Source organism: Homo sapiens, chromosome 5 (assembly GCF_000001405.40).
Source record: "Homo sapiens chromosome 5, GRCh38.p14 Primary Assembly".
NCBI lineage: Eukaryota > Metazoa > Chordata > Mammalia > Primates > Hominidae > Homo > Homo sapiens.
The window spans coordinates 150,394,824-150,421,590 of NC_000005.10; the positions used below are offsets into that span (position 1 = coordinate 150,394,824).

At 50.8% G+C, this 26,767-nt stretch overlaps 2 protein-coding genes across 48 annotated transcripts in view, besides 15 other annotated features; one reads left to right on the forward strand and one right to left on the reverse strand.

Moving 5' to 3' along the window:
• The window catches only part of TCOF1 (treacle ribosome biogenesis factor 1), a 42,597-nt gene extending 37,127 nt beyond the window's left edge, over positions 1 to 5,470 (forward strand). For all 42 annotated transcript variants that reach the window (XM_005268502.5, XM_005268504.5, XM_005268506.5 and 39 more), the window contains 4 exons: positions 1,459 to 2,019; positions 3,531 to 3,628; positions 4,199 to 4,247; positions 4,987 to 5,470. In XM_005268502.5, coding sequence (XP_005268559.1) covers positions 1,459 to 2,019; positions 3,531 to 3,628; positions 4,199 to 4,225 — 686 coding nt within the window. In that variant the 3' untranslated portion in view covers positions 4,226 to 4,247; positions 4,987 to 5,470. The remainder of the gene's footprint in view (positions 1 to 1,458; positions 2,020 to 3,530; positions 3,629 to 4,198; positions 4,248 to 4,986) is intronic.
• Positions 3,426 to 3,525: an enhancer, noted in NCBI's record as "active region_23401". NCBI's record gives its function as "activates an Ori minimal core promoter by ATAC-STARR-seq in GM12878 lymphoblastoid cells {active_cell/tissue: GM12878}" and the evidence as "EXISTENCE:reporter gene assay evidence [ECO:0000049][PMID:35858748]".
• Positions 4,156 to 4,315: an enhancer, noted in NCBI's record as "active region_23402". NCBI's record gives its function as "activates an Ori minimal core promoter by ATAC-STARR-seq in GM12878 lymphoblastoid cells {active_cell/tissue: GM12878}" and the evidence as "EXISTENCE:reporter gene assay evidence [ECO:0000049][PMID:35858748]".
• Positions 4,596 to 4,665: an enhancer, noted in NCBI's record as "active region_23403". NCBI's record gives its function as "activates an Ori minimal core promoter by ATAC-STARR-seq in GM12878 lymphoblastoid cells {active_cell/tissue: GM12878}" and the evidence as "EXISTENCE:reporter gene assay evidence [ECO:0000049][PMID:35858748]".
• Positions 5,226 to 5,315: an enhancer, noted in NCBI's record as "active region_23404". NCBI's record gives its function as "activates an Ori minimal core promoter by ATAC-STARR-seq in GM12878 lymphoblastoid cells {active_cell/tissue: GM12878}" and the evidence as "EXISTENCE:reporter gene assay evidence [ECO:0000049][PMID:35858748]".
• Positions 5,386 to 5,465: an enhancer, noted in NCBI's record as "active region_23405". NCBI's record gives its function as "activates an Ori minimal core promoter by ATAC-STARR-seq in GM12878 lymphoblastoid cells {active_cell/tissue: GM12878}" and the evidence as "EXISTENCE:reporter gene assay evidence [ECO:0000049][PMID:35858748]".
• Positions 6,816 to 18,087, reverse strand: CD74 (CD74 molecule). Of its 6 annotated transcripts, NM_001025159.3 has the most exons (9): positions 17,802 to 18,087; positions 12,329 to 12,501; positions 12,058 to 12,137; positions 11,436 to 11,498; positions 10,262 to 10,357; positions 9,857 to 9,944; positions 8,298 to 8,489; positions 7,740 to 7,802; positions 6,816 to 7,427 (listed from the first exon to the last, which is right to left on the reverse strand). In NM_001025159.3, the coding sequence occupies exons 1-9, from the start codon at positions 17,924 to 17,926 to the stop codon at positions 7,417 to 7,419; spliced, it is 891 nt and encodes a 296-aa protein (NP_001020330.1). In that variant the 5' UTR covers positions 17,927 to 18,087; the 3' UTR covers positions 6,816 to 7,416. The 6 variants fall into 6 exon arrangements, 5 of the variants coding, with proteins under 5 accessions (NP_001020330.1, NP_004346.1, NP_001351012.1 ...); NM_004355.4 differs by lacking the exon at positions 8,298 to 8,489; NR_157074.3 differs by lacking the exons at positions 9,857 to 9,944; positions 10,262 to 10,357.
• Positions 7,026 to 7,295: an enhancer, noted in NCBI's record as "active region_23406". NCBI's record gives its function as "activates an Ori minimal core promoter by ATAC-STARR-seq in GM12878 lymphoblastoid cells {active_cell/tissue: GM12878}" and the evidence as "EXISTENCE:reporter gene assay evidence [ECO:0000049][PMID:35858748]".
• Positions 10,186 to 10,405: an enhancer, noted in NCBI's record as "active region_23407". NCBI's record gives its function as "activates an Ori minimal core promoter by ATAC-STARR-seq in GM12878 lymphoblastoid cells {active_cell/tissue: GM12878}" and the evidence as "EXISTENCE:reporter gene assay evidence [ECO:0000049][PMID:35858748]".
• Positions 10,446 to 10,495: an enhancer, noted in NCBI's record as "active region_23408". NCBI's record gives its function as "activates an Ori minimal core promoter by ATAC-STARR-seq in GM12878 lymphoblastoid cells {active_cell/tissue: GM12878}" and the evidence as "EXISTENCE:reporter gene assay evidence [ECO:0000049][PMID:35858748]".
• Positions 11,386 to 11,435: an enhancer, noted in NCBI's record as "active region_23409". NCBI's record gives its function as "activates an Ori minimal core promoter by ATAC-STARR-seq in GM12878 lymphoblastoid cells {active_cell/tissue: GM12878}" and the evidence as "EXISTENCE:reporter gene assay evidence [ECO:0000049][PMID:35858748]".
• Positions 12,386 to 12,435: an enhancer, noted in NCBI's record as "active region_23410". NCBI's record gives its function as "activates an Ori minimal core promoter by ATAC-STARR-seq in GM12878 lymphoblastoid cells {active_cell/tissue: GM12878}" and the evidence as "EXISTENCE:reporter gene assay evidence [ECO:0000049][PMID:35858748]".
• Positions 12,766 to 12,825: an enhancer, noted in NCBI's record as "active region_23411". NCBI's record gives its function as "activates an Ori minimal core promoter by ATAC-STARR-seq in GM12878 lymphoblastoid cells {active_cell/tissue: GM12878}" and the evidence as "EXISTENCE:reporter gene assay evidence [ECO:0000049][PMID:35858748]".
• Positions 15,756 to 15,805: an enhancer, noted in NCBI's record as "active region_23412". NCBI's record gives its function as "activates an Ori minimal core promoter by ATAC-STARR-seq in GM12878 lymphoblastoid cells {active_cell/tissue: GM12878}" and the evidence as "EXISTENCE:reporter gene assay evidence [ECO:0000049][PMID:35858748]".
• Positions 16,406 to 16,455: an enhancer, noted in NCBI's record as "active region_23413". NCBI's record gives its function as "activates an Ori minimal core promoter by ATAC-STARR-seq in GM12878 lymphoblastoid cells {active_cell/tissue: GM12878}" and the evidence as "EXISTENCE:reporter gene assay evidence [ECO:0000049][PMID:35858748]".
• Positions 17,656 to 18,565: an enhancer, noted in NCBI's record as "active region_23414". NCBI's record gives its function as "activates an Ori minimal core promoter by ATAC-STARR-seq in GM12878 lymphoblastoid cells {active_cell/tissue: GM12878}" and the evidence as "EXISTENCE:reporter gene assay evidence [ECO:0000049][PMID:35858748]".
• Positions 17,877 to 18,446: an enhancer, noted in NCBI's record as "H3K27ac-H3K4me1 hESC enhancer chr5:149792263-149792832 (GRCh37/hg19 assembly coordinates)". NCBI's record gives its function as "activates a minimal SCP1, AML or CMV promoter by ChIP-STARR-seq in naive H9 embryonic stem cells {active_cell/tissue: H9 hESC(naive)}" and the evidence as "EXISTENCE:reporter gene assay evidence [ECO:0000049][PMID:30033119]".

Sequence of the window (26,767 nt, forward strand, 5' to 3'; positions counted from 1 at the left end):
GGAGAATCGCTTGAACCTGGGAGGTAGAGGTTGCAGTGAGCCGAGATTGCACCACCGCACTCCAGCCTGGGCAACAGAGCAAAACTCTGTCTCAAAAAAAAAAAAAAAAAAAAAAAAGGCAGCAGCAGAAACGTAGGCTCTGGGGAGAGAGGTTTCCGGGGCTAACTGCCCTCCCCAGCTTCCCTCTCCATTGGCTCCTGCCATCTTGAAGAATCCCCAGAGGATGGAATTGGGCCTCCAGCCGTCCCGGGGGCCCCTCTGCCTAACCTGGCCTGCCCTGCCCAGTCCACCTCCCCCAGCCCACCGCAGCTCTAGAGCCAAAAGTCGCCAGAAATCCTGGTTGGGGCTGAGGGGCCAAGCTCACTGCATGCTGCAGGGGGCAGCCCTAGCCTCAGTGTGACATGAGTACCACATAGAGTGTGACATGGAGTATCCACCTGGGCCTTCCTCCAGGCAAACACCTCCAGGACCAAACCACCAAGCCACCTTTCAGAGCCCAGCATGCAGGAGTGTTGTGCCCATGAGACCCAGAATGGGGCAGAGACCTCCAAGTCACTTGGAAGTTAGAGCCGGTGAGGAGACCCAGTCATGGGGCTTTCAGCTGCAGCTTGCCCCAGGCTGGGTCGGAAGAGGAATTGCTGCTCACTTTCTTCCCCAACATTCTCTGTGAGAGGCGGTGCGACAAGGAGACATTTTAGAGGGGGCTGTGGAAGGTTTTTTTTTTTTTACACGTGTAGTCAGCACACAATTATCAAAGGCAAGCAGAGGCGTGGAAAATTCTAAACAAAGGCTGCACCAGAAGTCTCTCTGGCAGGCAGTAAACCTGCTTAGTCAGCCACCACGTGTATATACACTGCACCCAGAGCTCCCCACCTTGCCTGGACCCCCTGACCAGGAAGGGCCGAGTGTGGGTAATCATCAGTTGAATGTCTGCATGGCCCCCACTTTTATTATAAATCTACAATGTATCATAGGAAGCCTTACTGTTCATCCACCCCTCACGTTATAGACAGGGAAACCAAGGCCCTGGGAGGAGATGGGTCCTGGCCAGAATCACACTGAAAGTGGGTGGGAAAGTCAGACCTAGAACCCAGGTCTCCTTCCTCCCAGCTCCAGACTCCATCTCCCTCCTTTCTGAATTTTCATTCCATTGATAGATTTCAGGCCCTTTCATTAACATTCTGGAGTCATTTTCTGTCCCCCACCCTAACTGGAGTTTTTAGTATAAAGAGACAGGGAAAAGCTGTAAGTTAGAAATGAAGTCAGGGTGTGAAATTGGTGGAAAGGTGTGAGCTTAGGAGACCAGCTGGGGCAGAGTGACCGCCAAGCCTTGCTCTCCCCATCTGTGCCATTGTAAGAAAAGATGGAGTCACTCCCTGCACCCTCTTCGCTCTTAGGTACCATAAGATCTGTCCCCCAACTCTCCCAGATCTGTGACCCCACATTCTCTCTCCATAGGTGGAAAAGAGGCTGCTTCAGGCACCACACCTCAGAAGTCCCGGAAGCCCAAGAAAGGGGCTGGGAACCCCCAAGCCTCAACCCTGGCGCTGCAAAGCAACATCACCCAGTGCCTCCTGGGCCAACCCTGGCCCCTGAATGAGGCCCAGGTGCAGGCCTCAGTGGTGAAGGTCCTGACTGAGCTGCTGGAACAGGAAAGAAAGAAGGTGGTGGACACCACCAAGGAGAGCAGCAGGAAGGGCTGGGAGAGCCGCAAGCGGAAGCTATCGGGAGACCAGCCAGCTGCCAGGACCCCCAGGAGCAAGAAGAAGAAGAAGCTGGGGGCCGGGGAAGGTGGGGAGGCCTCTGTTTCCCCAGAAAAGACCTCCACGACTTCCAAGGGGAAAGCAAAGAGAGACAAAGCAAGTGGTGATGTCAAGGAGAAGAAAGGGAAGGGGTCTCTTGGCTCCCAAGGGGCCAAGGACGAGCCAGAAGAGGAGCTTCAGAAGGGGATGGGGACGGTTGAAGGTGGAGATCAAAGCAACCCAAAGAGCAAGAAGGAGAAGAAGAAATCCGACAAGAGTGAGTGACCGCTTCTCCCAGCCCACCCCAAGGGCTGCTGGGCACCCCACGGGGGCGGGAGGGACCCTCAGCCAGCACCTGGTCTCATTCCTCCCATGTAGAAAAGAGAGGCTGAGACCAGCCTGGCCAACATGGCAAAACCCCGTCTCTACTAAAAATACAAAAAATTAGCTGGATGTGGTGGCGGGCACCTGTAATCTCAGCTACATGGGAGGCTGAGGCAGGAGAATTGTTTGAACCCGGGAGGCAGAGCTTGCAGTGAGCCGAGATCACGCATTGCACTCCAGCCTGGGTGACAGAGCAAGACTGTCAAAAAAAAAAAAAAAAAAAAAGGCTGAGAAGTGGTTTGTCCAGAGTCACAGGGGCAGCTTGTGGCAAAGCCCGAACTCGATTCCAGAGCACTTGAGTCAGCACTGCCAGGAATGCTCCAGAAGGACGAGGAGTCATGTCCTCTTTCCCCAAGCCCAGTGCAGCAGATCTTGGAGGAACCTGCTTCTCCAGCCAGCTCCTGGGTGCAGAATGGACCAGGAACCAGACTGTCAGAATCCTCATCCCAAACCCCATCTTGTCTCTAGACCTCAGTTTTCCCTCCATAGTAACACTGGCCCTTTACTGAGTGCTGTTCTAGACTCCGCATGCAGCAGGACCTCATTTAGGTAGAAATGAGACTCAGCAGGTAGAAAACTGCGGCTCGGGCTCGGAGAAGTAGAGATGCTGTTCAGGGCCACAGAGTTTTGCTAGGTGGAGCCAGAGTCAAACCTAGGCAGCACTCTCGAGCATCGCCCTGGACGGTGGGTTGCCAGTGACGCCCGAAGAGCCAGCTCGTTCTGGAACAAAAGTCGGGCACCCTCAGAGCAGGACTTGCAGCCCCTTGGTGCTCAGAACTGTGCTAGATTTCCATTTACAGTAGGGATAGATAGTGTCCATTTAAAATAAATTTGCGGGAGTTTTAAAAAGTGAGTTGAGCTAAAGAAAAATGGTAGTCATCCAGGTGGTCCATGGATGGGACAGAAATCATGAGCTGGCCTCCAGGGGGCAGGTGAACTGGCCCTGCTGGGTGATCACCACAGCTGCCAGCCTGTTTTATTTTTATTTTTTGAGACAGGGTCTTGCTCTGTCACCCAGGCTGGAGTTCAGTGTCAGGAACGCAGCTCACTGCAGGCTCAGCCTCCCAAGCTCAAGCGATCCTCTTGCTTCAGCCCCCCAAATAGCTGGGACCACAGGCGTGCACCACCATCCCCAGCTAATTTTTGTATTTTTTGTAGAGACAGGTCTCACTATGTTGCCCAAGCTGGTCTTGAACTCCTGGGCTTAAGCAATCCACCCGCCTCAGCCTCCCAAAGTGCTGGGATTGCAGGAATGAACCTCCACGCCCCGCCCTGCTGGCCTGTTGTGATGGCTTCTGGTGGTGTGGGGAAAGCTGGGAGCCCTGCCCTGTGCACCTCCCAACATTGACCCCAGCACTTAGGATTACCATCTGTTGTTCAGGAACTTTACTTTACTTCCCTTAGGAAAAAAAGACAAAGAAAAAAAAGAAAAGAAGAAGAAAGCAAAAAAGGCCTCAACCAAAGATTCTGAGTCACCGTCCCAGAAGAAAAAGAAGAAAAAGGTAGAGAGTTCCTGGGGTGTCTCAGGCCAGAAAACAGACCCAAACCCAAGCCCCCTCCTACACACCCAGACCTGGTTCCTGCCCCCTTCCCATTTTCGGGGCCCAGTCGGGGGCGTCAGGGGTTGTGACACACCAGGGAAGAGGCTGGCAGGGCATGTTCCCTGAGCACATGGAAGCCGTAGAAGTGGCCTGCCGGAGGTAGAAGGGTGTTGGGGAAGGAAGGAGAGACTCCCCCCAGCACAGGGAAACCAGGTAGACTGTGGCAGGTTTCCAGGTGAAAGGAAACGTTGCCTGGGCTGCGTGTGCCCCAGCTGGCAGGCTAGCCCTGAACAACAGCTGTCCTCACGGCGCGGGGCCTTAGCACCTCAGACACAGATGAAGTTCTCACCTTGGCCAGCAGGGCCTCAGCTGTATTTAGGAGAGCTGAACATCTGTTTGCCTCTGCCCTTGGAGGTCGCTGCAGACCCAGTATCTATTCTAGGGGAATTCACTAGTCCTCAGGAGGTGGGGGCAGCAGTGGGTGGGGAAAAGCTGCAGGTCTGAGAGCCTCTCGTACTTCCCTCCTCACAGAAGAAGACAGCAGAGCAGACTGTATGACGAGCACCAGCACCAGGCACAGGTACGCTTCCCAATCATTCCTGAGCATTCAGGGTGGGAGGACAGCTCTGGTGTCCCCTGTGGTCCCAGAGAGCCAGGCAGACCTGATAGGTGGGCTCTAAGGGGAAAGGAGGCTGGGGAAAGAGGTTCTGTTGCCAAGGGTCCATGGGGCCACTGGGGTGACATCAGGAGCTGGCACTGCAGCATCAGAAGGATCCAGAACAGTAATGGCAGTGGTGACACCGAGTGCACCTGGGTGCAGGGGTTGTGCATGCTTTAGGGGGTGTGCCCTGGGATGGAGCCTGTTTGTAGGTGAGGTCGGATACAGCTTGGTTCCTCCTTCACTTGTGAGCGGTTCATTTTCCTCATGATCCTGTAACTTGGGGGCATTTCCTTTTGGGAAGGAAGATGGTTTACTCAAGATGAGCTATCACCATGGATCTATGCTTCCCTATGGAGGACAGGCCCTGCCAAGTGGTGGTGACAGTTAGCTGCTCCACCTGGCTCTGCTGGCCCTGTGGTCACCCAGCCTCCTGTAAATGGGGGTGATGCAGAGCCCGCCTCCTGGGCCAGTGGTGAGGCTTATGTGAAGCTAAACTAAACACTAAAGGACTCAGCCCAGTTCTCAGAACATTCCAAGTGCTAAAAAATGTCCACTGTGGTTAATGCCTCCCCCCTGCATTGGAGATGCCAGATTTCATTTTCCTTGCAGGGGAAAAGGGTCAGGAAATTTGACATCTGCATGTGTTTCCTTCCCCTAGGGATTTCCTAGCCGAGCAGTGGCCATCCCCATGCCTCTGACCTCCACCGACCTCTGCCCACCATGGGTTGGAACTAAACTGTTACCTTCCCTCGCTCCACAGAAGAAGACAGCCAGCTTCAGGGGTCCCTGTGCTGGCCAAGCCAGTGAGCCTGCGGGGAGGCTGGTCCAAGGAGAAAGTGGACCAGCTCCCATGACCTCACCCCACTCCCCCAACACAGGACGCTTCATATAGATGTGTACAGTATATGTATTTTTTTAAGTGACCTCCTCTCCTTCCACAGACCCCACATGCCCAAAGGCCTCGGGACTTCCCACCACCTTGCTCCACAGATCCAGCTAGGCCTGACCTGTGCCTCATCCCGTGCCGCTCGGTCTCTGGCTGATCCCGAGGCTTTGTCTTCCTCTCGTCAGTTCTTTTGGTTGTGTTTTTTGTTTTTTTTTTAATAACTCAAAAAAAAAATAAAAGACTTGGAGGAAGGGTGCAAGCTCCCAGTGCATCTGGGGCACATGTTTCTTGGAAGGGACTGTCTCGCCGACACTCGGGATTCCCTCTTGCCTGCATGTTGAGGCTATGGGTGACCGTGGTTAGTGGGACAGGCAGTGAGCAGTGAAGTGCCTGAGTGCCGAATTGGTGGGGAAGGCTTCCTGGATGAGGTGGCATCTAAACTAAAGGATGGAACTAAAGGATGGTCATGGTTGATTTCCTGTTGCCAGAGTAAGTCATGTAAATACCCAAAGACAAGAAATGGAAGGGGCTGAGAATCCTCGAGTTAGGCCTCGAGCTAGGGGCAGGCTCCCTGGAGGTGCCTGGTGAACAGCTGTGGCAGGCACAGCAGGTCTAGGAAAATCGGAAGTGAGTTGCCCCTCAAATCGAGCTCACCATGGTTCTGTGGTGGTGAGGGCAAGAAGTGGATGAACATGAAAGACAGGATGATGTCTTGGGTGTGGACTGAGGGAGGGGAGGGATAGCAAAGGAGGTGGTCTGCTGCTCCAGCCTGGAAATGCAGAAGCCCACTTCCCTGGGCCCAGAGCCATGTGGAACACCAGGGGTCCTGGAGATGGTCTCCAGAGCTTTTAGCCTCATGCTGGAAACAGCCAGAGGCAGTGCAGAAAAGGAATGCATGGCTGGAGGTGTCGGAGACCCAGGTTGGCATCCAGCTGCACCCTTGACTCGGGGCCCGGGGCCAGACCCTCCACCATCTGGCCTCTCTCCTCTCAAGCATGTTGCTCTAGAACAGAACTACAGAGTAGTGTCCTCATTGGGCCTTGTTGACCCACAGCAAGACTTTAAACTTAAAAATGGGGTGATTTCACTGCAGTTCTTGATTTCTGGCTCCTCTTAAAAAGATAACATCTGGCAACGGGGGCTGTGCTTCCTCCTGGCAGCAACCAGATAGAGCTGAGTAGCAGTCAGCCCCTTAGGTAAGGCATGGGCACCCAGTTCTCCACAGTCCCCTACTTCCTGTCCATCCTGACACGGAGGCCCTATGTCGGTTGCCATCTGTCATCACATTCACACTGTTCTTAGTATAGAAATGAAATTGGGGACATAGGAAAATGAAAGCTGTACCAAGAAGAGCTTGTGCTTAAACTAGGCAAGAGCCTATTTCTTTTTGGAAGTAGAGTGTTCGTGTGTGTTAAACATGTAATCAAGTATGTCTGTGTCCAAAGACTACAAGCCCCCCCCCAGGCCTGCCTGGCCCCGCAGGCATCTCTGTGGGTTACTTGGGCTGCGTTCTCCCACCTCAGTGACTGGATTTAGCGTCTTTAGTTACCTCTTTAGGATAAATGAACTGGATCTCAACAGAAGAGCCAGGAGCCAGAGTGTTCTAATTACTACCTTTTATTCTAATGTGAACCATGGCCCTGAAAGCTGATAACAAGCTTGGCTGAGCAGAGGGAACTAGGGGTCGGCAGAAAGGATTATGGGTGGAAAACATTGGCTCTTCCTTGGGGAGTGATGCTGGGGAAAGGGAAGAGAGTGGCTCAGCCTGCAGGTAAATAGGCTAGAAAAGCCAAGGCCAAAGGCTGGAGGGGAGAGGACAGTCAGCATGTCCAGCCTGGGGTCTGGGTGTAGGGTTATCCCTTCTCCCTGTGCCTTCCCATCTCGTCCATGAGCCTAGGTCTTGGAGCCTTGTGTTGGAGGCTGCTGTGATGTCAGGAACGGGGATCTGTCTAGCTTTTGGCCACTTCCTGGGACCTCACGCCCCTGTTGACAGATGGAGATTGGGCAGCAGGGCCTTGCTGCATTGTTATCTGCTGTTCCGACTTGGTTTGTCTTGTCCAAGGGTGACGAAAGAGCCAGGCACCAGGGTCTCATGGGATGAGGTACAGGGTGGGAGATGGGGGAGGGGCTGGGGGCTGAAGGGAGCAAGAAAGCTGTAGCTGTGTGGGGCTGGCAGGATGTTGAAGACCGCCTCTGCTGCTCTCACATGGGGACTGGAGAGAGAAGCAGCAGGTTGAGGTTGGGGTCACCCATTTGTTGTCCCTGCCCCTTTCTAACATCCTGGACCTGCAGAGCAGTTAAGGACTGTCCACCCTCCCCTGCCCCCTGCTCAGGTCCAATAATGACCATCATGGATTTGTGTAACTCCCCACAGCCCCCCAACCCTGTTCCTTCGTCTGTGAAATGGACATCCCAGGAATGTTGGAGAGTGGCCCAGCGTCACACTCCTTCACCTGCCCACAAAGGAGCTGGCCCTGCTGGGGATGAGCTGCTGGTGACCAGATGCCCCTCTGCAAGGCCCTTACCTGGGCCCAGATCCTGCTTGGTCACACCCAGCCCAGAAGACGGGTCCTCCAGTTCCAGTGACTCTGCAAAGGAGCAGCAAGTCCGTTTGTCACTTGAAGTGCAGCCTACCTGACCCAAGATGCCTGAGGGCAGTGCTTCCCACCTAGCCACAGGCTTAGTGCCTGGGAAAGCAGGTACCCAGGGAAGGACAGCTGCAAGCAGCAACAAAGAGGTGTAATGGGGGCTCGAGTGAGAAGGGGGTGATGAAATGAGATGGGTGGGTCTGTAGGACTCCTGGATGCTAGAGGATGGCGCGTGGATGGATGAAATTCACAGATGAAAGGACTGACGGATAAGTGAACAAATATGAGTGCATGTAAGAGGAGAGATGATAAATGGACAAATAGGAATGCACAGGTGGGTGGATGGATAAAGGGCTGGACGCATGACTACGTCACTGCCCCCAGGAGCTGCCATCCTGGGTGTCCTGGTCCCATGTGCTTCAGAGGGGACCTCTTGCCCCTCAACCTTCCTAGTCCTTCCTGGTCCTCTGACACTGGCACAGTGCCACTGCTTACCACTGCAGTTATGGTGCCCGCGGCTTCTGGTGTTGGGGACCTCCGTGCCGTTGGGGAAGACACACCAGCAGTAGCCGATGCTCCCATAGCACTGGAGTGGCAGATAGTTGCCGTTCTCGTCGCACTTGGGCCTGAATGAACCCGGGTGGACAGCAGGGATGTGGCTGACCTCTTCCTGGCACTTGGTCAGTACTGAAGCGACAGGCATGATGAGGACACAGTGAGTGAGTGAGCTCTGAACCAGGGTCTGAGCAGAGCTAAAGACCCACACACCACTGCTGTGGGCTTAATGCCTTCTTCCCAAGTGGCTTTACTCACTCCAGCCATCACACGGATGGGAAAACTGAGGCCTAGACCAACAAGGTCTGAGATCAAAAAGGAAGTGAATGGCCATGTGTCCAATTCACCTCAGAAGTTGATGGTTTCTTCTGACACTCAAAGCCCATTACAGTTTTGGGCCAGGCACAGTGGCTCATGCCTGTAATCTTAGCACTTTGGGAGGCCGAGGTGGGCGGATCACTTGAGGTCAGGAGTTCAAGACCAGCCTGGCCAACATGGTGAAACCCTGTCTCTACTAAAAATACAAAAATTAGCTGGGCGTGGTGGCACATGCCTATAATCCCAGCTACTCGGGAGGCCGAGGCAGGAGAATTGCTTGAACCCGGGAGGCTGAGGTTGCAGTGAGCTGAGATCGCACCACTGCACTCCAGCCTGGGCGACAGAGCCAGACTCTATCTCAAAAACAAACAATCAAACAAAAAAACACCATTACAGTTTGGAATTGCACTTGCGATTCTGATTCTAGAGAAAAGCAATGGGCACCTTGGTAAGTCTAAGCTTCCTGTTACTGGGAGTTCTCAAGTAGAAATGGGGTTTACCGTTTGTTGGAGATGTCTTAGAGGGGTTTAAGCATCAGCTAGGAGTTGGAGATAGCATGTAAGGTGCCTTCTATGAATCTGATGCAGAAACTGAGGCCCCAGGCAGGGTGGCCCTTTGACCTTCTACTTCAGGACCCTGAATCCTAGAGGGAAGGGGACTTGTCCAAAGTTACATAGCAAATTAGAGACAGCACCGGGATAGAAACAGCACTCTGTCTTTGGGTCTAAAAACATCCTAGTCTGCATTGTCCATGAGGTGGGAAACGCCCAAGGCTCTCTTGGCAGCAGCTGTGACCTTGGCGCCCTCACTGGATTGCGGGCAGCACTGGGGCAAGGTCATTACAAGGATTCCTTTCTGCAGTGTTTCGGGCAGGTTCTACCCCAGGCACCCTGTGCTGTACCATCCTCTATGAGAGAGGTCACCTGTACCCTGTGGTGACAGGCCTCTGTGGGCCCTTAGGAACCCTTAGACAAGATGGGGGTGGGTCAGGGGAGGGGGACAGCCAAACCAAGAAGGAACAGACAGGAGAGAGAGAGAAGTGAGAAAGAAGTGAGAGCTGAGAGGATGGGAGATTCCGCGGTGCTGGGACCAGGGAGTGCTGGAGGCCCCGGCCTCAGCAGCTTCAGGAGAGCCCCGAGGGTCCAGAAGCCCTGGCACGCTAAAGCTCCCACTCCCTGTACCTTTCGGTGGAGCGTCAGTGGGCTTTTGCTCCAAGGAGTGCCTGCTCATTTCAAACAGGAGCCAATGGTGCATCCAGCTCTCAAAGACCTAATACGGATAGAGGTGGAGGTCAGGTTCGATGGCCACCACCAAGCCCCTACACTGCCTGGCTTTGCCCCTGGGGACAGAAACATGCAGGGCCAAATAGGGCCCCAACACCCGGGTCCAGCTGCAGCCTGGTTCCCTCTTAAAGACCCCTGGGGCTGAACCCCACATACTCTGCAGCATCCAGGTTTTGGAAGTGCTGGTAAACCCCTTCAGCTTCCTGAGAATGGCTTCCCCAGCCCACCCTCACCCCACCTCTCCTAGCCCTGCCCTAGACACCAGAGGAAAGAGAGAGTTCCCATGCAGGGAAACCTGCTGACCTTCCAGTCTATGGTCTCCATGGTGTTCTTAAGGTGTCTCAGGTTCTCCGGGAAGCTCCCCTTCAGTGGCGGGTACACCTTCAGGGGGTCAGCATTCTACAGGGTAGCAGGGCAGGAAGGATGGTTCAAGAAGAGCTCCCTGGCAGGCAGTGTGAAATGTGTAGCCCACGTTCCCTTGGTCTTCCATTCTGAGGAATGGACCAGAGCTACACCAAGCCTAAACCCTGGACTTCAGCCATGATGGGAGGGGAGGGGAGGGTACGGGTAAGGGTAGTCCAGCTGTTCAGCTACGAGACTGCAGCGTTGCGAGTCGAGTTCCAGATTCCAGGCCAGCTCTACCAACAAGCCCCAGTGTCCTCCCTGTGGATGGCTGCTCAGCTTTCAGGTCTTACCTGCTCCAGCAGGTGAGGACCCAACCTTGACTGCCCCCAGCTAGGTTGAGTCCTCTGCCTCTTTCTTCACAAAGCCCCCTGCACTTCTGTCATCACCTGGTCACTTGTCTGTCTCCCACACTAGCCTGGGATCCCCATGGCTTCAGGAGCTGGGTCCAATTGCTCCCCATTGTGGGCCCAGAGCCTTGCACAGTGCTGGCATAGGACAGACACGCAGTACAAATTTGGGGAGAAAAAAAGGGTGTCTTGAGCAAGTCACTTCCAAACTTTGAGCCTCAGTTTCTTTTTTTATTTTTATTTTATTTTATTTTTTGAAATGGAGTCTCACTCTGTCACCCAGGCTGGAGTGCAGTGGCGTGATGATCTCGGCTCACTGCAACCTCCACTTCCCGGGTTAAAGCGATTCTCCTGCCTCAACCTCATGAGTAGCTGGGATTACAGGTGACTGCCACCACATCCGGCTAATTTTTGTATTTTTAGTAGAGACTTTCACTATGTTGGCCAGGCTGGTCTCGAACTCCTGGCCTCAGGTGATCTGCCTGCCTAGGCCTCCCAAAGTGCTGAGATTACAGGCATGAGCCACTGCACCCAGCCGAGCCTGTTTATCTCAAAAATGCAGAGGCCAGACTACATATAACATTTAAGGGTCACCCTTGTATTCAGTAATCCAGAGAGCACATGTTGAAAGTCTGCCATGAGCCAGGTATACAGGCCTTGGAGCTTGGCCCGGCCAGGGTCCTGGGTGGGCAGGCAGGACCACCCAGCTAGCTCCCTGCACTCACCTGGAGCAGGTGCATCACATGGTCCTCTGTCATGTTGCCATACTTGGTGGCATTCTGCATGGGCTGTGGGAGGAAGTAACAGAAGGTTACCAGAGCTGGTCCCTGGAGCAGGGGGTATGGAGCAGGAGCCGGTTGCTGGGATCTAGGTAAGAGACTGGAATCGCAGGCACTTGGTCAATGGTTCCATCTCTGCCACCTCCAAACATGAGAGCTCGAGCAAGTCACTTTAGCTTCCTGCCTCAATGTCCTCATTGGTCAAACTGGCATAAGCTTTCCTGCCCAGGGTTTTGTCCACAGCACAGTATTGTGAATATAAATATTGTCAATGCATGATAGCAAGGTCTTTGAGAATGGGAGAGGACAGTGAGATGCTATAGGAAATGAGAAGCACTTTGTAAACTGTAGAGGGCTGAGCCTTCCTCCCAGGGATGGCACCAAGAGACTCTTCACCTGTGCCCTCCACACCTGGGGAGCCCGATTCTTCCTGAGGCAGGCACTGTCCCTCCCGCAGCAGTCAGGACCCCTCCCCAGGTGGGCTCTCTTCCCTGCCCCTCCCCTTGGCACTGTCCTCCATCCAGGCGGGATAACCTTGCCCCTCCCACCACCCTGGGGCTGTCCTTACCCCCTGGGGCAGGGCTCCCATGGGCAGCGCCTGCATCAGCAGCGGGGTGGCCATGCGCATCTTGCTCACAGGCTTGGGAGCTGTGGGGACAGGAACGAGGGTAAGTGTGGCCCCGGTGCCCAGGGAGGAGGGTATCAGACCCAGATGAGGAAGGGCTGGAATTCCAAACCGGAGGGAGAGGACAGTGGGCCCAGCTGGGTGCAGGGATGCGGGTCTCTGAGTTGAGGGATGGTGGGAGGTGGGGGGTATCAGGATGTAGGGGTGCACGCACGCTTGGGAAGCTTCATGCGCAGGTTCTCCAGCTGCAGGTTCTGGGAGGTGACTGTCAGTTTGTCCAGCCGGCCCTGCTGCTGGTACAGGAAGTAGGCGGTGGTGGCCTGGCCAGCGAGGAGCAGAGTCACCAGGATGGAAAAGCCTGTGTACAGGGCTCCGCGGCTGCACTTGCTGTGGGAGGTGGGGAGGATAGGTCAGAGGAGGATCCACAGTGGTGGCTGCCCCAAGGGCTGGCTAGGAATGGGGAAATGTATACCCCCATCTCCATTAGACCCCTAAGCCACCCCTAATAAACAATGCATTTGAAGCACAAACAGTAAGCTGGCTATGGAAACACAGCTTGAAGACCTCACCCCACCCCTCCTTCCAACCATCGATGTGCCTGAAGTCTTCCCTGGCAGAGACCCTGCAGCTGCCACGGGCCTGAGTTGAACAGAGAAGAGCAAAGAGGCATGCTCTTTGTCCTCTCTGGACCTTAGGGTCCTGCCTGTGCGATGAGGGGTTGAGGTGGGGGGGTCTTCCCAGGCTCCCTTTGCCGTGCGGATCTCCTGATGATCAGGGCTGCCCTCAAGGGGAACAGGTTTGGTTTTTGTTTTGTTTTGTTTTGTTTTGTTTTTTGAGACGGAGTCTTGCTCTGTCGCCCAGGCTGGAGTGCAGTGGCGCGATCTCGGCTCACTGCAACCTCCACCTCCTGGGTTTATGCCATTCTCCTTCCTCAGCCTCTCCGAGTAGCTGGGACTACAGGCACCCGCCACCACGCCTGGCTAATTATTTTGTATTTTTGATAGAGACGGGGTTTCACCGTGGTCTCGATCTCCTGATCTCGTGATCCACCCACCTCAGCCTCCCAAAGTGCTGGGATTACAAGCGTGAGTCACCGCGCCCAGCCTTTTGTTTTGTTTTTTTTTTCTGCTGGCAGGATCAACCAGGTATGTTATTTTTTTTAATTGACAAAACCAAAAAAAATTGTATGTGCTTACCAAGTAAGGGGAAGAGGGTTTTCACCCCTCTGCCCAACCTCCCACCCTCACAGTGAAATCAGATTTAAGGAGAAAAGGTAAGGAAGTGGGACCGGGACAGCAGAAAATGTAGCCCACCTGGGAAGAAGTGGGGCCTGGCCATTTTAGGAGTGGGCTGGGGGAGGCTTGGACAATGTCAGGCTGAAGCAGGGCCAGGCACCACCCACTCTGGGGCCATCCTCTGCCCAGGCTCTCCATGTCTTTGAGCATGTCCCTGCCAATCTCTGTGCCTCTGTTCCCTCATTTGTCACATAGGTGCCCCCACCTCTGCGATTCTAGAATTTGGTGGGTTTCTTCTTTTAAGCAAGATCTCACTGCAAGCGCCAAAGTATTTCAAATGGTAATATCCATCCTGCAGGGGGTGGGCAGGAGTATAGGTGCCTGAGCCTGTGTGGCCTGGATGAATTTCTCATGCTCCCTGGACTCACCATCCAGACCCTCGGACCTCAGCAAGCCCTTGTATCTGTGGGACTTGGATGCGACTGGGGGGTGCATGCATATGTTACAGTACAGGGGATGTAAGGATCCTGCCCCTACACCCCAGGAGTTTCTGATCTGTTCTTTGACGACCCCAGGGGTGGGACTACTAAGACCCTAGTCCAGGTGTTGCCAATGTGAAGGTGTTGGGAGGTGATCGGGCCACAAGGCCTTCTCCCTCACGAATGGGATTAGGTGCCCTGTAAGACGGCTTGATGGAAGGAGTTGGTTCTCTCTTGCCCTTCTGCCTTCCACCATATGAGGACACATCAAGGAAGCCCCTCACCAGGCTGGGTGTGGTGACTCACGCCTGTAATCCCAGCACTTTGGGAGGCCAAGGCAGGTGGATCACTTGAGGCCAGGAGTTCGAGACCAGTCTGGCCAACATGGCGAAACCCCGTCTCTACAAAAAAATACAAAAAACTTAGCCAGGCATGGTGGCGTGCACCTCTAGTCCCAGCTACTTGGGAGGCTGAGGTGGGAGAATCACTTGAACCCGGGAGGCGGAGGTTGCAGTGAGCCGAGATCACGTCACTGCACTCCAGCCTGGGTGACAGAAGGAGACTGTCTCAGAAAAAAAAAAGAAAGCAAGCTAGGCCGGGCGCGGTGGCTCACACCTGTAATCCCAGCACTTTAGGAAGCCAAGACAGGTAGATCACCTGAGGTCAGGAGTTCGAGACCAGCCTGGCCAACGTGGTGAAACCCTGTCTCTACTAAAAATGCAAAAATTAGCCGGACGTGGTGGCGAGCACCTGTAATCCCAGCTACTCGGGAGGCTGAGGCAGGAGAATCCCTTGAACCTGGAAGGTGGAGGTTGCAGTGAGCTGAGATCATGCCATTGCACTCCAGCCTGGGCAACAGAGTGAGGCTCCATCTCAAAAAAAAAAGAAAAAATTAGCCGGGCGTAGTGGTGGGCACCTGTAGTCCCAGCTACTCAGGAGGCTGAGGCAGGAGAATCACTTGAACCTGGGAGGCAGAGGTTGCTGTGAGCCAAGATCACACCACTGCATTCCATCCTGGGGGATAGAGTGAGACTCTGTCTCAAAAAACATAACAAAAAAAAAAAAAAAAAACAAGAAAGCCCCTCCAGAACTGTGAGAAATAAATTTCTGGGTGTTTTTTGTTTGTTTGTTTGTTTGTTTGTATATTACGCAGTCTGTGGTATTCTGTTAAAGCGGCACAAAACGGACTAAAACAGACCCATTGGGAACTGCAAGGATGAGGCTGCACCCTGCCTACTCCAGCAACCAGCAAGGATGGTTTAGGACGCTCCAGGAGTCCCTTGTGCCTGGTAACTCATGACATCACAGACTGGCTCATTCTCATTGGCTTGCTGCGTGCCAGTCTGTGCTTTCTGGGATAAGGCCCAGCCCAAGGGAGAGTTATTCGGGAAGGAAACAGCAAAAACCCGACGGTGGGCGGGGGGCGGGGGGGAAGTGGGGAGACCAGACAGGAAGGGAAAACAAATTCTACTTCTTGGCCTTCTCAAGGAACACGGGTGGCCTAGCCTGTGTTCAGGCTCTCCAGCCTCATCCTCCACCTGTTCAGTGCTTCTGCAACCCCACACCCAATTCTAGCCCCAGCTCTACCTCCCACACACGACATGGGACAGTACCTTCCCCTCTCTGCACCACAGTTCCTCAGGAGGCCTAAGAACCTAGAGATTCACCCTGAAGACGAGACCACATAACCTGGATTGGAATCCTGGCTCTGGAGTCGGTTAGTTCTGGGACCATCTAAGTTGATTAACCCTCTGTGTGAGTAAAATCGGGTAAAACATCTGCTCCAAGGGCTGTTACATTAAATAAGATGATGAGGGTAAAGCTCTTGGCTCCACACCTAGCACATTGTTAGCACTCTATAAATAAATTACACTCAGTGCAATTCTCAGGGGAGTTCGTAGTTAAGTTTAGCATCTGCTTTTCTTCCTCTTTATGCATCTTGAACGCCTGTCCCCTGGTTCTGGTAGAGTGCCAACTCTTGTCACCCCCCTCTTTATTTCCTCATTTACACTACCTTCTTCTGCAATTAAAAAAAAAAAAAAAAAAGCCAAAGTCAGGAGCCAACCAGAGCTAGCAGGAATCGTGACACAGATGTTGCCAGGCAGAAGCATTCACAAAAGCCTCCAAAACAGGCTCCAGTCTGGAATGGCCTAAGCACACATAGCCAGCTTTAGAAGCAGTAACTGAATAAAGGGAAAACTAGACAAGGATTAGACAAGGGGACATGCACTCTGAACACTGAGCCCACCTGGGTCTGTAAATCACTGAGTGGTCTGAGCTCAGAGGGGTCTCACCTCCCCTTCCCACAAAATGCACCTCTGAAAGGGGGCCAAATGGTGGAGTGAGCTAACACTTTGATGTCAGACTAGTCCTGGTTCAAATTCTGCCTCCAACCACTCACTAGCTATGATTACTTGGGTAAGTCACTTACCAATATGACCTCAATTTCCTCTTCTGTAAAAAGGGACAACAAAAGTACCTGATTCATAGGGTGACTGTAAGAATTAAAATTGAGTTTAGCCTTTACGTATGTAAATAATCACAGTACTAACTAACAGTGGCTGAGGCCTGGTGACAGGTACACAGTGGATGAGAACTATTATGGCTATTATATTATTACTGAGACTCAGGGAGAGGCAGTGATTTATCCAAGGTCACGCGTGGCCTAGACCTGAATCCATTCCTCACAAAACAGTCTCCCTCCTTGCCATGGGATTCCCTGGGGTTTTCACAGGCCACAGCTCTAATGGTCTGCAGCAGGTTACCTTGTTCCCCAGAACATAGCTTGTCATAACATCTCTGCAGGGTTCTCCCAAACCCCTTTCTGCCTGGCAACAGCTGACATCACACCTAGCTGTAAGTCCCTGTAGATCGCAAATTACTTTTTGGAGACTGGGGGTAGCAGGGGCATTGGGGTAATAGCCTTCTAGCCCTTTTTGAGGGAAACACATGGGTGAGGCTATTTTGGGGCTGGGAAGTGGGGGCCTGGTGTCCCCTGGATGGCTGTGCTGGCCTCTGGCTGCAAGGGAGAGGGGCACAGGCAAGGACATGACCCCCGTCAACCCTGAGCCCCCTCCAGAAATTTAACCAGAGCCTGTCCCTCCTTTCTTGCCTGCCCCCAACATCTCACAATCCCTCCTGTGATGGCAGATGTCTCCATCTACTCTACAGACACCTGCAACTATCATTCCCTTGATCCGTGGTAATTAGGAGGGAACTCCTCTGTGAAGAACTGCTTCTACCATCCTCTTTTAGAAACTCTTTCTCCACTGGGATCTTGAACATTTTCAAAATCTGGTGCAAGGTCTTTATTTATTTATTTATTTTTTTTGAGACAGAGTGTCACTGTGTCACCCAGGGTGGGGTACAGTTGCACAATCTTGGCTCACTGCAACCTCTGCCTCCCAGGTTGAAGTGATTCTCATGTCTCAACCTCCCAAGTAGGTGGGATTACAGGTGTACACCACCACATCTGGCTAATTTTTGTATTTTTAGTAGAGATGGGGTTTCAACATGTTGGCCAGGCTGGTCTCGAACTCCTGGCCTCAGCTGATCTGCCCGCCTCAGCCTCCCAAAGTGCTGGGATTACAGGCGGGAGCCACCAGGCACAGCCTGTTCCAAGGCCTTTAACCTAGCATTCACAGCCCAGCTTTAGTGGGATCTCAAAGCCCCTGCATAGCATGTGAAACTCTAGGGAGAGAACCCATGCTCTCTTCTGCTTTTCAGAAGGAGGCGGTGTGATGCAAGGAAAGTTACAAACTCCTGCTCTTAAAGGAACCCCCTCATTTGACAAGAGAGGGAGCCGGAGCCCAGAGCAGGCCAAAGACTTGCTCAAAATCACCCAAAAAGTCAATGTTAGAGTCAGAGCCTGAATCCCTCTTTCCTGTGACTCCTGGCCGGTGCTTCTTCCCAGCACATGCGCACGGCTCTGCAGTCCAGGATCGGTGTGCCCTTTCCTGGTGCTCACACATACCTCTCCGGGGCCCCAGGGCGCCGGCCCAGCATGGGCAGTTGCTCATTGTTGGAGATAAGGTCGCGCTGGTCATCCATGACTGGCTTCTGATCTTCCCGACAGCTCCTGCTTCTCCTCCTGTGCATCTGGGACCCTGACCCCCCGGCTCGCCTCTTAAAGTCGGTGCTGGAGAGGAATCTGATTCGTCCACAGAAGGCCACTCCGCCCACTTGGTAGATGTGGAAGTGAAAGCTACAAAGGCTGGAAATACCCCACTTTGGTGAAGCTGCCTTTTGCGGGGCAGGATGTGGGGCGGGGGGGCTCCCCAGGCAGGTAGAAAGGCCAGCACGATCCCATTGGCTGCCCAGGGCCCTCATCACTTGTTTCTGGGCAGGCCTTTGGATTCATAAGGCTCTTTGAATGTTTCAAGAAACAGGCAAATGTCCACTCCCTAGACAGGAAAGCACTTTGAAACAGAAGACACCTTTGTTTGTCTCCCCTTCTCATCCACAGATGAGTGGGTGCAGAAAGGGGCTGTGCACCCTTGGTGAGCTCAGACAAGTCCTCTTCTCTGGCCTCCGTTATGTCGTCTCAAACACGCAGGAGGAAGTTTGGACGACGTGCAGGGGTGAAAACATTTCTTTTCTTTCCCTGTTTAGGTTCTTAGTTGACACGCTCCCCTGGAAACAAAAGTCAACTTAACAAAAGAAAAATCAGCCAAAGTTGATTAACACATGCTGTACCCATTATGCAGTAGAGGCCTCAGTTGAGAAGTATTTCTCTCTCAAGGCAGTGGCTTAGGGGCCTTGCTTAAATAGTATTTTAACAAAGAGCCGTAAGTCCCATAGAGTGACAGGACAGAGAAGAGGATATCTTCAGGGTTCCAAAGGGCTGGAAATGTGGGAAGGTGAATGTATGGGAACAGTCAAGTCTGATCCAGGATCCTCTGAGCTCTGCTTCTGAGCTGATCAAGACAGAGAGAAGGGGCAGAGGGTGCCCCTGGGTTTTAACCTTTTACCTTTAACTAAAATCCGCAGGTTTTTAGAGAGGAATATTTTGATTTCCTTCAAACCTAAGAGTCCATGGTTTTAAGGCTCTGGCACTCAGACTTGCCTCCACTTACCAAGCTCTCCTTCGTGCCAGGCACGTTGTCCATGCTTTGTTTCCTGTGATCTTTACGGAGGCCCTTTGAGGAGTGTTTTATCATCTCCATTTACAGATAGGGACACAGGGGCTCTTGTCCAGGATCACACCTCCAGAAAGTAGTAGCGCCTGCATTTTTAACCACTCCACCCCTCTGCCTCCTTGTGTGGTTCAGATCCAGGAGAATGGGGGCCTGTGCTGGGAGGGAAGAGGACAGCCTGGGAAAGGGTGCCTGGGAGGATGGGACTGTGTTGGCAAGGCTCCTGTGCTGTGACATAGTGAAAAACGTCTCTGGTCTCTGTCCCTGGTTCCTGACACAAGGACCACTAAGAACCAAAGAGTCTCCAGAGTAAGCCTGGGTGTGGTGGCTCAGACCTGTAATTCCAGCACTTTGGGAGGCTGAGGCGGGAGGATCAGTTGAGGTCAGGAGTTCGAGACTTGCCTGGCCAACATGGTGAAACCCTGTCTCTACAAAAAATTTAAAAATTAGCCAGGCATGGTGGCACACACTTGTAATCCCAGCTACTTGGGAGTCTGAGGCAGGGGAATTGCTTGAACCCAGGAGGCAGAGGCTGCAGTGAGCCAAGAACGCACCACTGCACTCCAGCCTGGGTGACAGAGCAAGACTCTGTCTAAAAAAAAAAAAACAAGAAAAAAAAGAAAAAAAGACCAGGCACGGTGGCTCACGCTTGTAATCCCAGCACTTTGGGAGGTCGAGGTGGGTGTATCATGAGGTCAGGAGTTTGAGACAAGCCTGACCAACATAGTGAAACCCCGCTACTAAAAACACAAAAATTAGCCGGACATGTTGACGTGTGCCTGTAATCGCAGCTACTCGAGAGGCTGAGGCAGGAAAATCGCTTGAACCCTGGAGGCGGAGGTGCGAGATCGCACCACTGCACTTCAGCCTGGGCAACAGAGTGAGACTCCATCTCAAAAAAAAAAGTATCTCCAGAGTGAGAAGAATGTCTTTTTTTATATATTCAGGAAATGCTGGTGGCTGAAAGCCCCTAGAGAGCTTCAGATGGAGGCTGGGTGCCATGTGAGGAGAGGGTCGGGACTTTCAGACCTCACCCCCACCCGCCCCACCCCGACTTCCAGAGAGGAGAGAGGGGTTGGAGGTTGAGTTCAATCAGTGATTTAACCAACCATGTCTACATAATGGAACTTGCATAAAAATCCCAAACAACTAGGTTTGGAGAGCTTTCGAGTAGACGAACACATCCATGTGCCAGGAGGGTGGTGCACCCCAACTCCACAAGGACAGGGACAGAGGCTGCTGTGTTCAGGACCCCTCCCACATGCCGTACGCTATAGACCTCTTCATCAGCTGCTCATCTGTATCCTTTATAATAAACTGGTAATAGTAAGTAAAGTGCTTCTCAGTTCTGTGGGCCATTGTAGCTATTTGTCAAGTATGAAGAGGGAGTCGTGGGAACTCCCAATTTGTAGCCAACTCATCAGAAGTACTGGAGTCCCGGGACTTAGGATTGGCATCTGAAGTGGATGAGTCTTGTCTGACTGAGCCCTCAACCTATGGGTTCAGATGCTAACCCCAGGTAGATAGTGTCTGAACAGAATTGAATTGTAGGATGCCCAGTTGGTGTCCAGAGAGTTAGAACATTTGTTGTTGGTGTAGAAAAAATCCACACATTTGGTGTCAGAAGTGCTGTGAGTGTAAAAAAACAAGTTTCCTTTTATATACCATATTTGTTTTATTAATCTTTATGTATTGTGTGTGCTTTACAATTTGCATTAATAAATTTTTTTTAATAAATTTAGACTTGTGGTTCGAAGGTTCAATGAGTTTTGGATTTCAAGAGTCAAATGAGATAGTACATGTATTTTGGGAGGAGAGCGAAGAGCAGACATGGCCTTTGATGTGGCCAGACCTGAGTTCAAATCCCAAGTCAGAAACATCCTAGGCATGTGAGTCCCTGAACCAGTCCCTCAACCTTTCTTTACTTTTTTTTTTTTTTTTTGAGACAGAGTCTTGCTCTGTTGCCCAGGCTGGAGTGCAGTGGCACGATCTCGGCTCACTGCAAGCTCCGCCTCCCGGGTTCATGCCATTCTCCTGCCTCAGCCTCCCAAGTAGCTGGGACTACAGGTGCCCGCCACCACACCCAGCTAATTTTTTGTATTTTTTTAGTAGAGATGGTGTTTCACTGTGTTAGCCAGGATGGTCTCGATCTCCTGACCTCGTGATCCGCCTGCCTTGGCCTCCCAAAGTGCTGGGATTACAGGCGTGAGCCACCACGCCTGGCCCCTCAACCTTTCTGATTTTGCTTTCTGCTTTGTAATGCAGGGATGGTAATACTAGCCTTGCAGAGCTGTTAGACTAAATAAGCATTTAGCCAGAGCCTCGCACCATAGAAGATGCTGAAGATATGAAACTGGATGGAACTGGAGACATTTTGTAAGTGAAATAAGCCAGGAACAGAAAGTTAAACACAGAATGTTCTAACTCATATGTGGAAGCTAAAAAAAGTTCAACTCATAGAAGTGAAAAGTAGAACAGAGGATACTAGAGGCTGGGAAGGGTAGGGGGAAGGGAGGGACGGGGATGCAAAAGGATACAAAATTGCACCTAGATAGGACTAAGTTCTCATTTTCTATACCCCTGTGGGATGACTATAGTTAACAATAACATACAGTTTCAAATAGCTGTGAGACAGAGCAGGGACCCTTCTTAGGGGCCAGCTGAGCACCCCACCAACATAAAAAGAGAGAAAAATCTAGGCCAGAAATGGTGGCTCACACCTGTAATTCCAACACTTTAGCAGGTCCAAGGTGGGAGGATCGCTTGAGGCCAGGAGTTCGAGACCAGCCTGGGCAACACAGTGAGACCCCCGTCTCCACAAAAATTTTTCTAAAATTAGCCAGGCGTGGTGGCACGTGCCTGTAGTCCCAGCTACTCAGGAGGCTGAGGCAGGAGGATCCCCGGAGGCTTGAGTGTCCAGGCTGCAGTGAGCTGTGATGATGCCACTGTACTGCAGCTTGGGTGACAGAGTAAGACCATCTCTAAAGAGAAAAAAGAAAAGAAAAGAAAAAGAAACTTACGTTTCTTCAAAAGTATTTCAGGCACCTAGCTAGCCTTGAGAAGTAAATGAGCAAGCTGATAAACAAAAATATAGTAATAACTTAAGACAATAGCCAAAAAAGTTAGAATCATGGGGTATTTGGCTCCCTATAAAAACTAAAGATAACATCTTAACTTATGTCCCTGCATTGCTTTTCATAAACCCAGACCCCCACCAAACAGATCCACTGGCTCATAGATCTCAGACAAGGGGGAGCAGAGGACTAAACTCTAACCACCAATCTTTGCTCTAAATTTCTTCCTTTCACACCTGTAATCTCAGCACTTTGGGACGCCAAGGTGGAAGGACTGCTTGAGGCCAGAAGTTCAAGACCAGCCTGGGCAACAAAGCAAGACCCCCCCATTTCTACAAAAACAAAACAAAACAAAACAAAATTTAATTAGCCAGGTGTGGCAGCACATATCTGTAGTCCCAGCTAGATGGGAGGCTGAGGCAGAAGGATCACTTGAGCCCAGGAGTTTGAGGCTACAGTGAGCACTGATTGTCCCACTAAACTCCAGTCTGGGTGACAGAGCGAGCCCCTGTCTCAATAAATAATACATTTTAAACATTAAAAATAAATAAATTTCTTTCTGAGGGGCCTGGAGGAGGTCATGCCCACAGGCCAGAGCTAACATTCCTTTTTTCTGACCCCAGATTTTTAGACAAACGTTCGTGTCCTTAACCAATGACAAATGAGAAAATCTTTAAATCCACCCATGACCTGTGGACCCCCACTTCAAGATGTCCCACCTTTTTAGGTCAAACCAATATATAACCTTCATGTATTGATTTAGAATTTTGCCTATAACTTCTGCTTTCCTCAGATTTACCCCTGCCTTTAAAATCCTAGCTTATGGCTGGGGGCAGTGGCTCACGCCTGTAATCCCAGCACTTTGGGAGGCCGAGGCGGGCGGATCACGAGGTCAGGAGATCGAGACCATCCTGGCTAACACGGCAAAACCCCATCTCTACTAAAAAAATACAAAAAATTAACCGGGCGTGGTGGTAGGCGCCTGTAGTCCCAGATACTCTGGAGGCTGAGGCAGGAGAATGGCGTGAACCCGGGAGGCGGAGCTTGCAGTGAGCCAAGATCACGCCACTGCACTCCAGCCTGGGTGACAGAGCGAGACTCTGTCTCAAAAAAAAAAAAAAAAAAAAAAAAATCCTTGCTTATAAGCCACTCATTGGAGATGGGTTTCTTTGTTTCGTTTTGTTTTTTGAGACAGGGTCTCACTCTGTCCCCCTTGAAGAAGTGCAGTGATGCAATCATGGCTCACTGCAGCCTGAACTTCCCAGGCTCAAGGGATCCTCCCACCTCAGCCTCCGAGTAGCTGGGGATACAGGTACACACCACCACACTCAGCTAATTTTTCTGTAGAGACCATGTGTCTCACTATATTGCCCAGGCTGGTCTCAAACTCCTGGACTCAAGTGATCCTCCTGCCTTGGCCCCACAGTGTGCTGGGATTATAGGCATGAGCTGTTGCACCCAACCAAGGTCAGCTCTTAAGCATGAGATGCCCAATTCTTTTACTTGGTCGTCTACAAATAAATACCCTCTTTTATTCCACTACAAACCTCGATATAAATATTTGGCCTTATGATGCCATGTGAGCAGAACCTCGCTAGGTTCAATAACAGCTGGAAAAAGGATATTGAATGTTCCCAACACAAAGAAATGATAAAAGTTTGAGATGATGGATATTACCCCCACCAAAAAAAAAAAAAGTGAAACTGTACTGTTCAAATATTTATTTATTTATTTATTTAATTAAGACAGAGTCTTGCTCTGTCACCCAGGCTGGAGTGCAGTGATGTGATCTCGGCTCACTGCAGCCTCCACCTCCCAGGTTCGAGCGATTCTCATGCTTAAGCCTCCTGAGTAGCTGGGACTACAGCTGTGCGCCACCATGCCTGGCTAATTTTTTTGTATTTTTAGTAGAGATGGGGTTTCACCACATTGGCCAGGCTGGTCTCGAACTCCTGACCTCAAGTGATCCACCCGCCTTGGCCTCCCAAAGTGCTGGGATTACAGGCGTGAGCCACTGTGCCCAGCTCAAATATTTATTAAGCTATTTTCTGTGTAGTCAAGACAAATGGTATCCTATATCCACACAAAAATTTGCCCACAAATGAATGTTCATAGGGCCATTATTCATAATATCAAAAAAGTAGAAACAACCCAAATATTCAACTGATGAATAGGTAAACAAAATGTGGTGTATCCATACAATGAAATAGTACTCTGTCATAAAGAGGAATGAATACTCAATAAAACTGTTACTTTAAAAAATAATGAAGTACTGATTCATACCACGACATAGATGACCCTTGAAAACATTATGCTAAGTGAAAAAAGCCAGACACAAAAGGCCATACATTGTATGATTCCATTTATGAGAAGTGCCCAAAATAGGCAAATCCACAGAGACAAAATATAGATTAGGGGTTGCTGGGGGGCTGTGGGGAAGAAAGGAGGGGGAGTGGTTGCTAACAGGTATGGGGCTCCCTTTTGGGTAATGAAAATATTCTAGAATAGATATGATGGTTGCACAACTTTGTGGATGTACAAAAAACCATTGAATTTTATACAGTTTTTAAAGGGTGAATGTTATGGTACATGAATTAGGTCTTATTTTTTGAAGATTGTAATGATGGATAGAGCACACATTTACTTTTGCTTCCTCTCTCACTTTGCTTTTGTCACTAAAATGACCATAGGTTGTTTTAAGTGTAAATCTACAAGAACAAAGAGAACAGGAGATGAGAAAACAATAGAATTTGAGAAGCAGGAAAGCAGGTGAGCAAGTGTTAAGTCCCTTAGTAGACCCCAAAAAAACTGCATCCTAAACCTGCGGCTAGAAAAGCTGAGAAGCCACGTAGTTAGGTGGCAGAACAGACTCAGGAACTGGTGTGTCGGGTACCTGGGTGGTGAGTAGAGGTGGGACTAAAAAGAGGAAGGTAGTTTGGAAGTCTGTTTCTGAGGCAGTGAGATACCCACGCCCTCTCCCTCCCCGAGGGCCACCCGTCCCCCTCCTTGAGGGACAATTGCAAGTGTCTTTCCCAGACAAATAAAGAACGTGAGCCTGGTACTGAAGCTGAGAGGCCCAGTGTTCTCCCCTACCCACAGTGTGAAAGCCAGGCCTTCACCCAAGCCACAGCCTGGAGGAAGCTTCTCTGTGGAGCATGACCATCCCAGGAAAAAAAGGCCTCAGGACTCTGACACTGGGAATTTCCTGATGAAACAACTCAACCAGAATACCCTATAGGAAGCCCTTGGTGGATAAGTCCTACTCATGGGTCACAGCTGTCTTAGACAATCAGGTTTTTTAGATAATCCAGAATCCTGGGACATCTAAAGAAAGCCTTTAACATAAAAGAGAGTGAACAAAACAACCACACAGAAAAAAAAAAAAAAGCACTATGGAGGAAATGAACTGTCATTAATAGCCCTAGGGAGAAAAAGGAGGATACTGCACCCATGAAACAAGAATAGGATGCTATAAAAGTATAAGTAGTATAGAAGAACAAAGCATAGCTCTTGAAGATTTAAAATATGAGGGCAGATATTAAACAGTCAATAGATGGAAGATAAAGTGTTTTTTTAAAATCTCCCAAAGTGTGGACCACAAAGATAAATTTAAAAATCAGACAGAAAAGATAAGAGAATTAAACACCAGTCCAGGAGGCCCAACAGCCAAATACCAAGTTCCAGAAATAGAGAACAGAAAATATAGAGGGGAAGAAATCATCAGTGAAATAAGTCAATACATTTTCCAGAACTCAAGGACATAAATTTCCAAACTGAAGAGGCCCAGTGAGCACTGAGGACAAGGTGTGAAAGCAATTTCACAGCAAGGGATGCTGTTGTGAAGTTTCAGCAAAATAAGAACAAAGAGAAGATTCTGCAAATTTCCAGAAAGGAAAAATCAAGACAGATACAAAGGATTAGGAATCAGAAGATTAGGAATCAGAATGACTTTAGAGTTCTTTCTTTTTTTCTCTCTCTCTTTCTTTCTTTTTTTGAGATGGAGTCTTGCTCTGTACCCAAGGCTGGAATACAGTGGCGCAATCTCAGCTCACTGCAACCTCTGCCTCCCATGTTCAGGTGATTCTCCTGCCTCAGCCTCCCAAGTAGCTGGGATTACAGGCACCCACCACCACCACTGGCGAAGTTTTGTATTTTTTTTTTTAGTAGAGATGGGGTTTCACAATGTTGGCCAGGCTGGTCTCAAACTCCTGACTTCAGATGATCCACCTGCCTTGGCCTCCCAAAGTGCTGGGATTACAGGCGTGAGCAACCATGCCCAGCTGAAAAAGTTTTAAATTGGGTAGGCGGTTTGGGGACGGAGATGGAAAAAAAAATTTTTTTTAAGTTTGAAACTGATGTAAAGAGGATGGTGAAGATCTGCTACTCATTTTACAGCAAATCTTGTAGAACTATTTGATTCTTGTTTGCTTGTTTGAGGCGGAGTCTCACTCTATAGCGCAGGCTGGAGTGCAGTGGAGCGATCTCGGCTCACTGCAGCCTCTGCCTCCTGGGTTGAAGTGATTCTCCTGCCTCAGCCTCCTTAGTAGCTGGGACTACAGGCTCGTGCTACCATGCCAGGCTAATTTTTTTGTGTTTATAATAGAGACAGGGTTTCACCATGTTGACCAGGCTGGTCTTGAACTCCTGACCTCAGGTGATCTGCCCGCCTCAGCCTCCCAATGTGCTGGGATTACAGGCGTGAGCTACTGCACCCGGCCTGATTCTTTAGA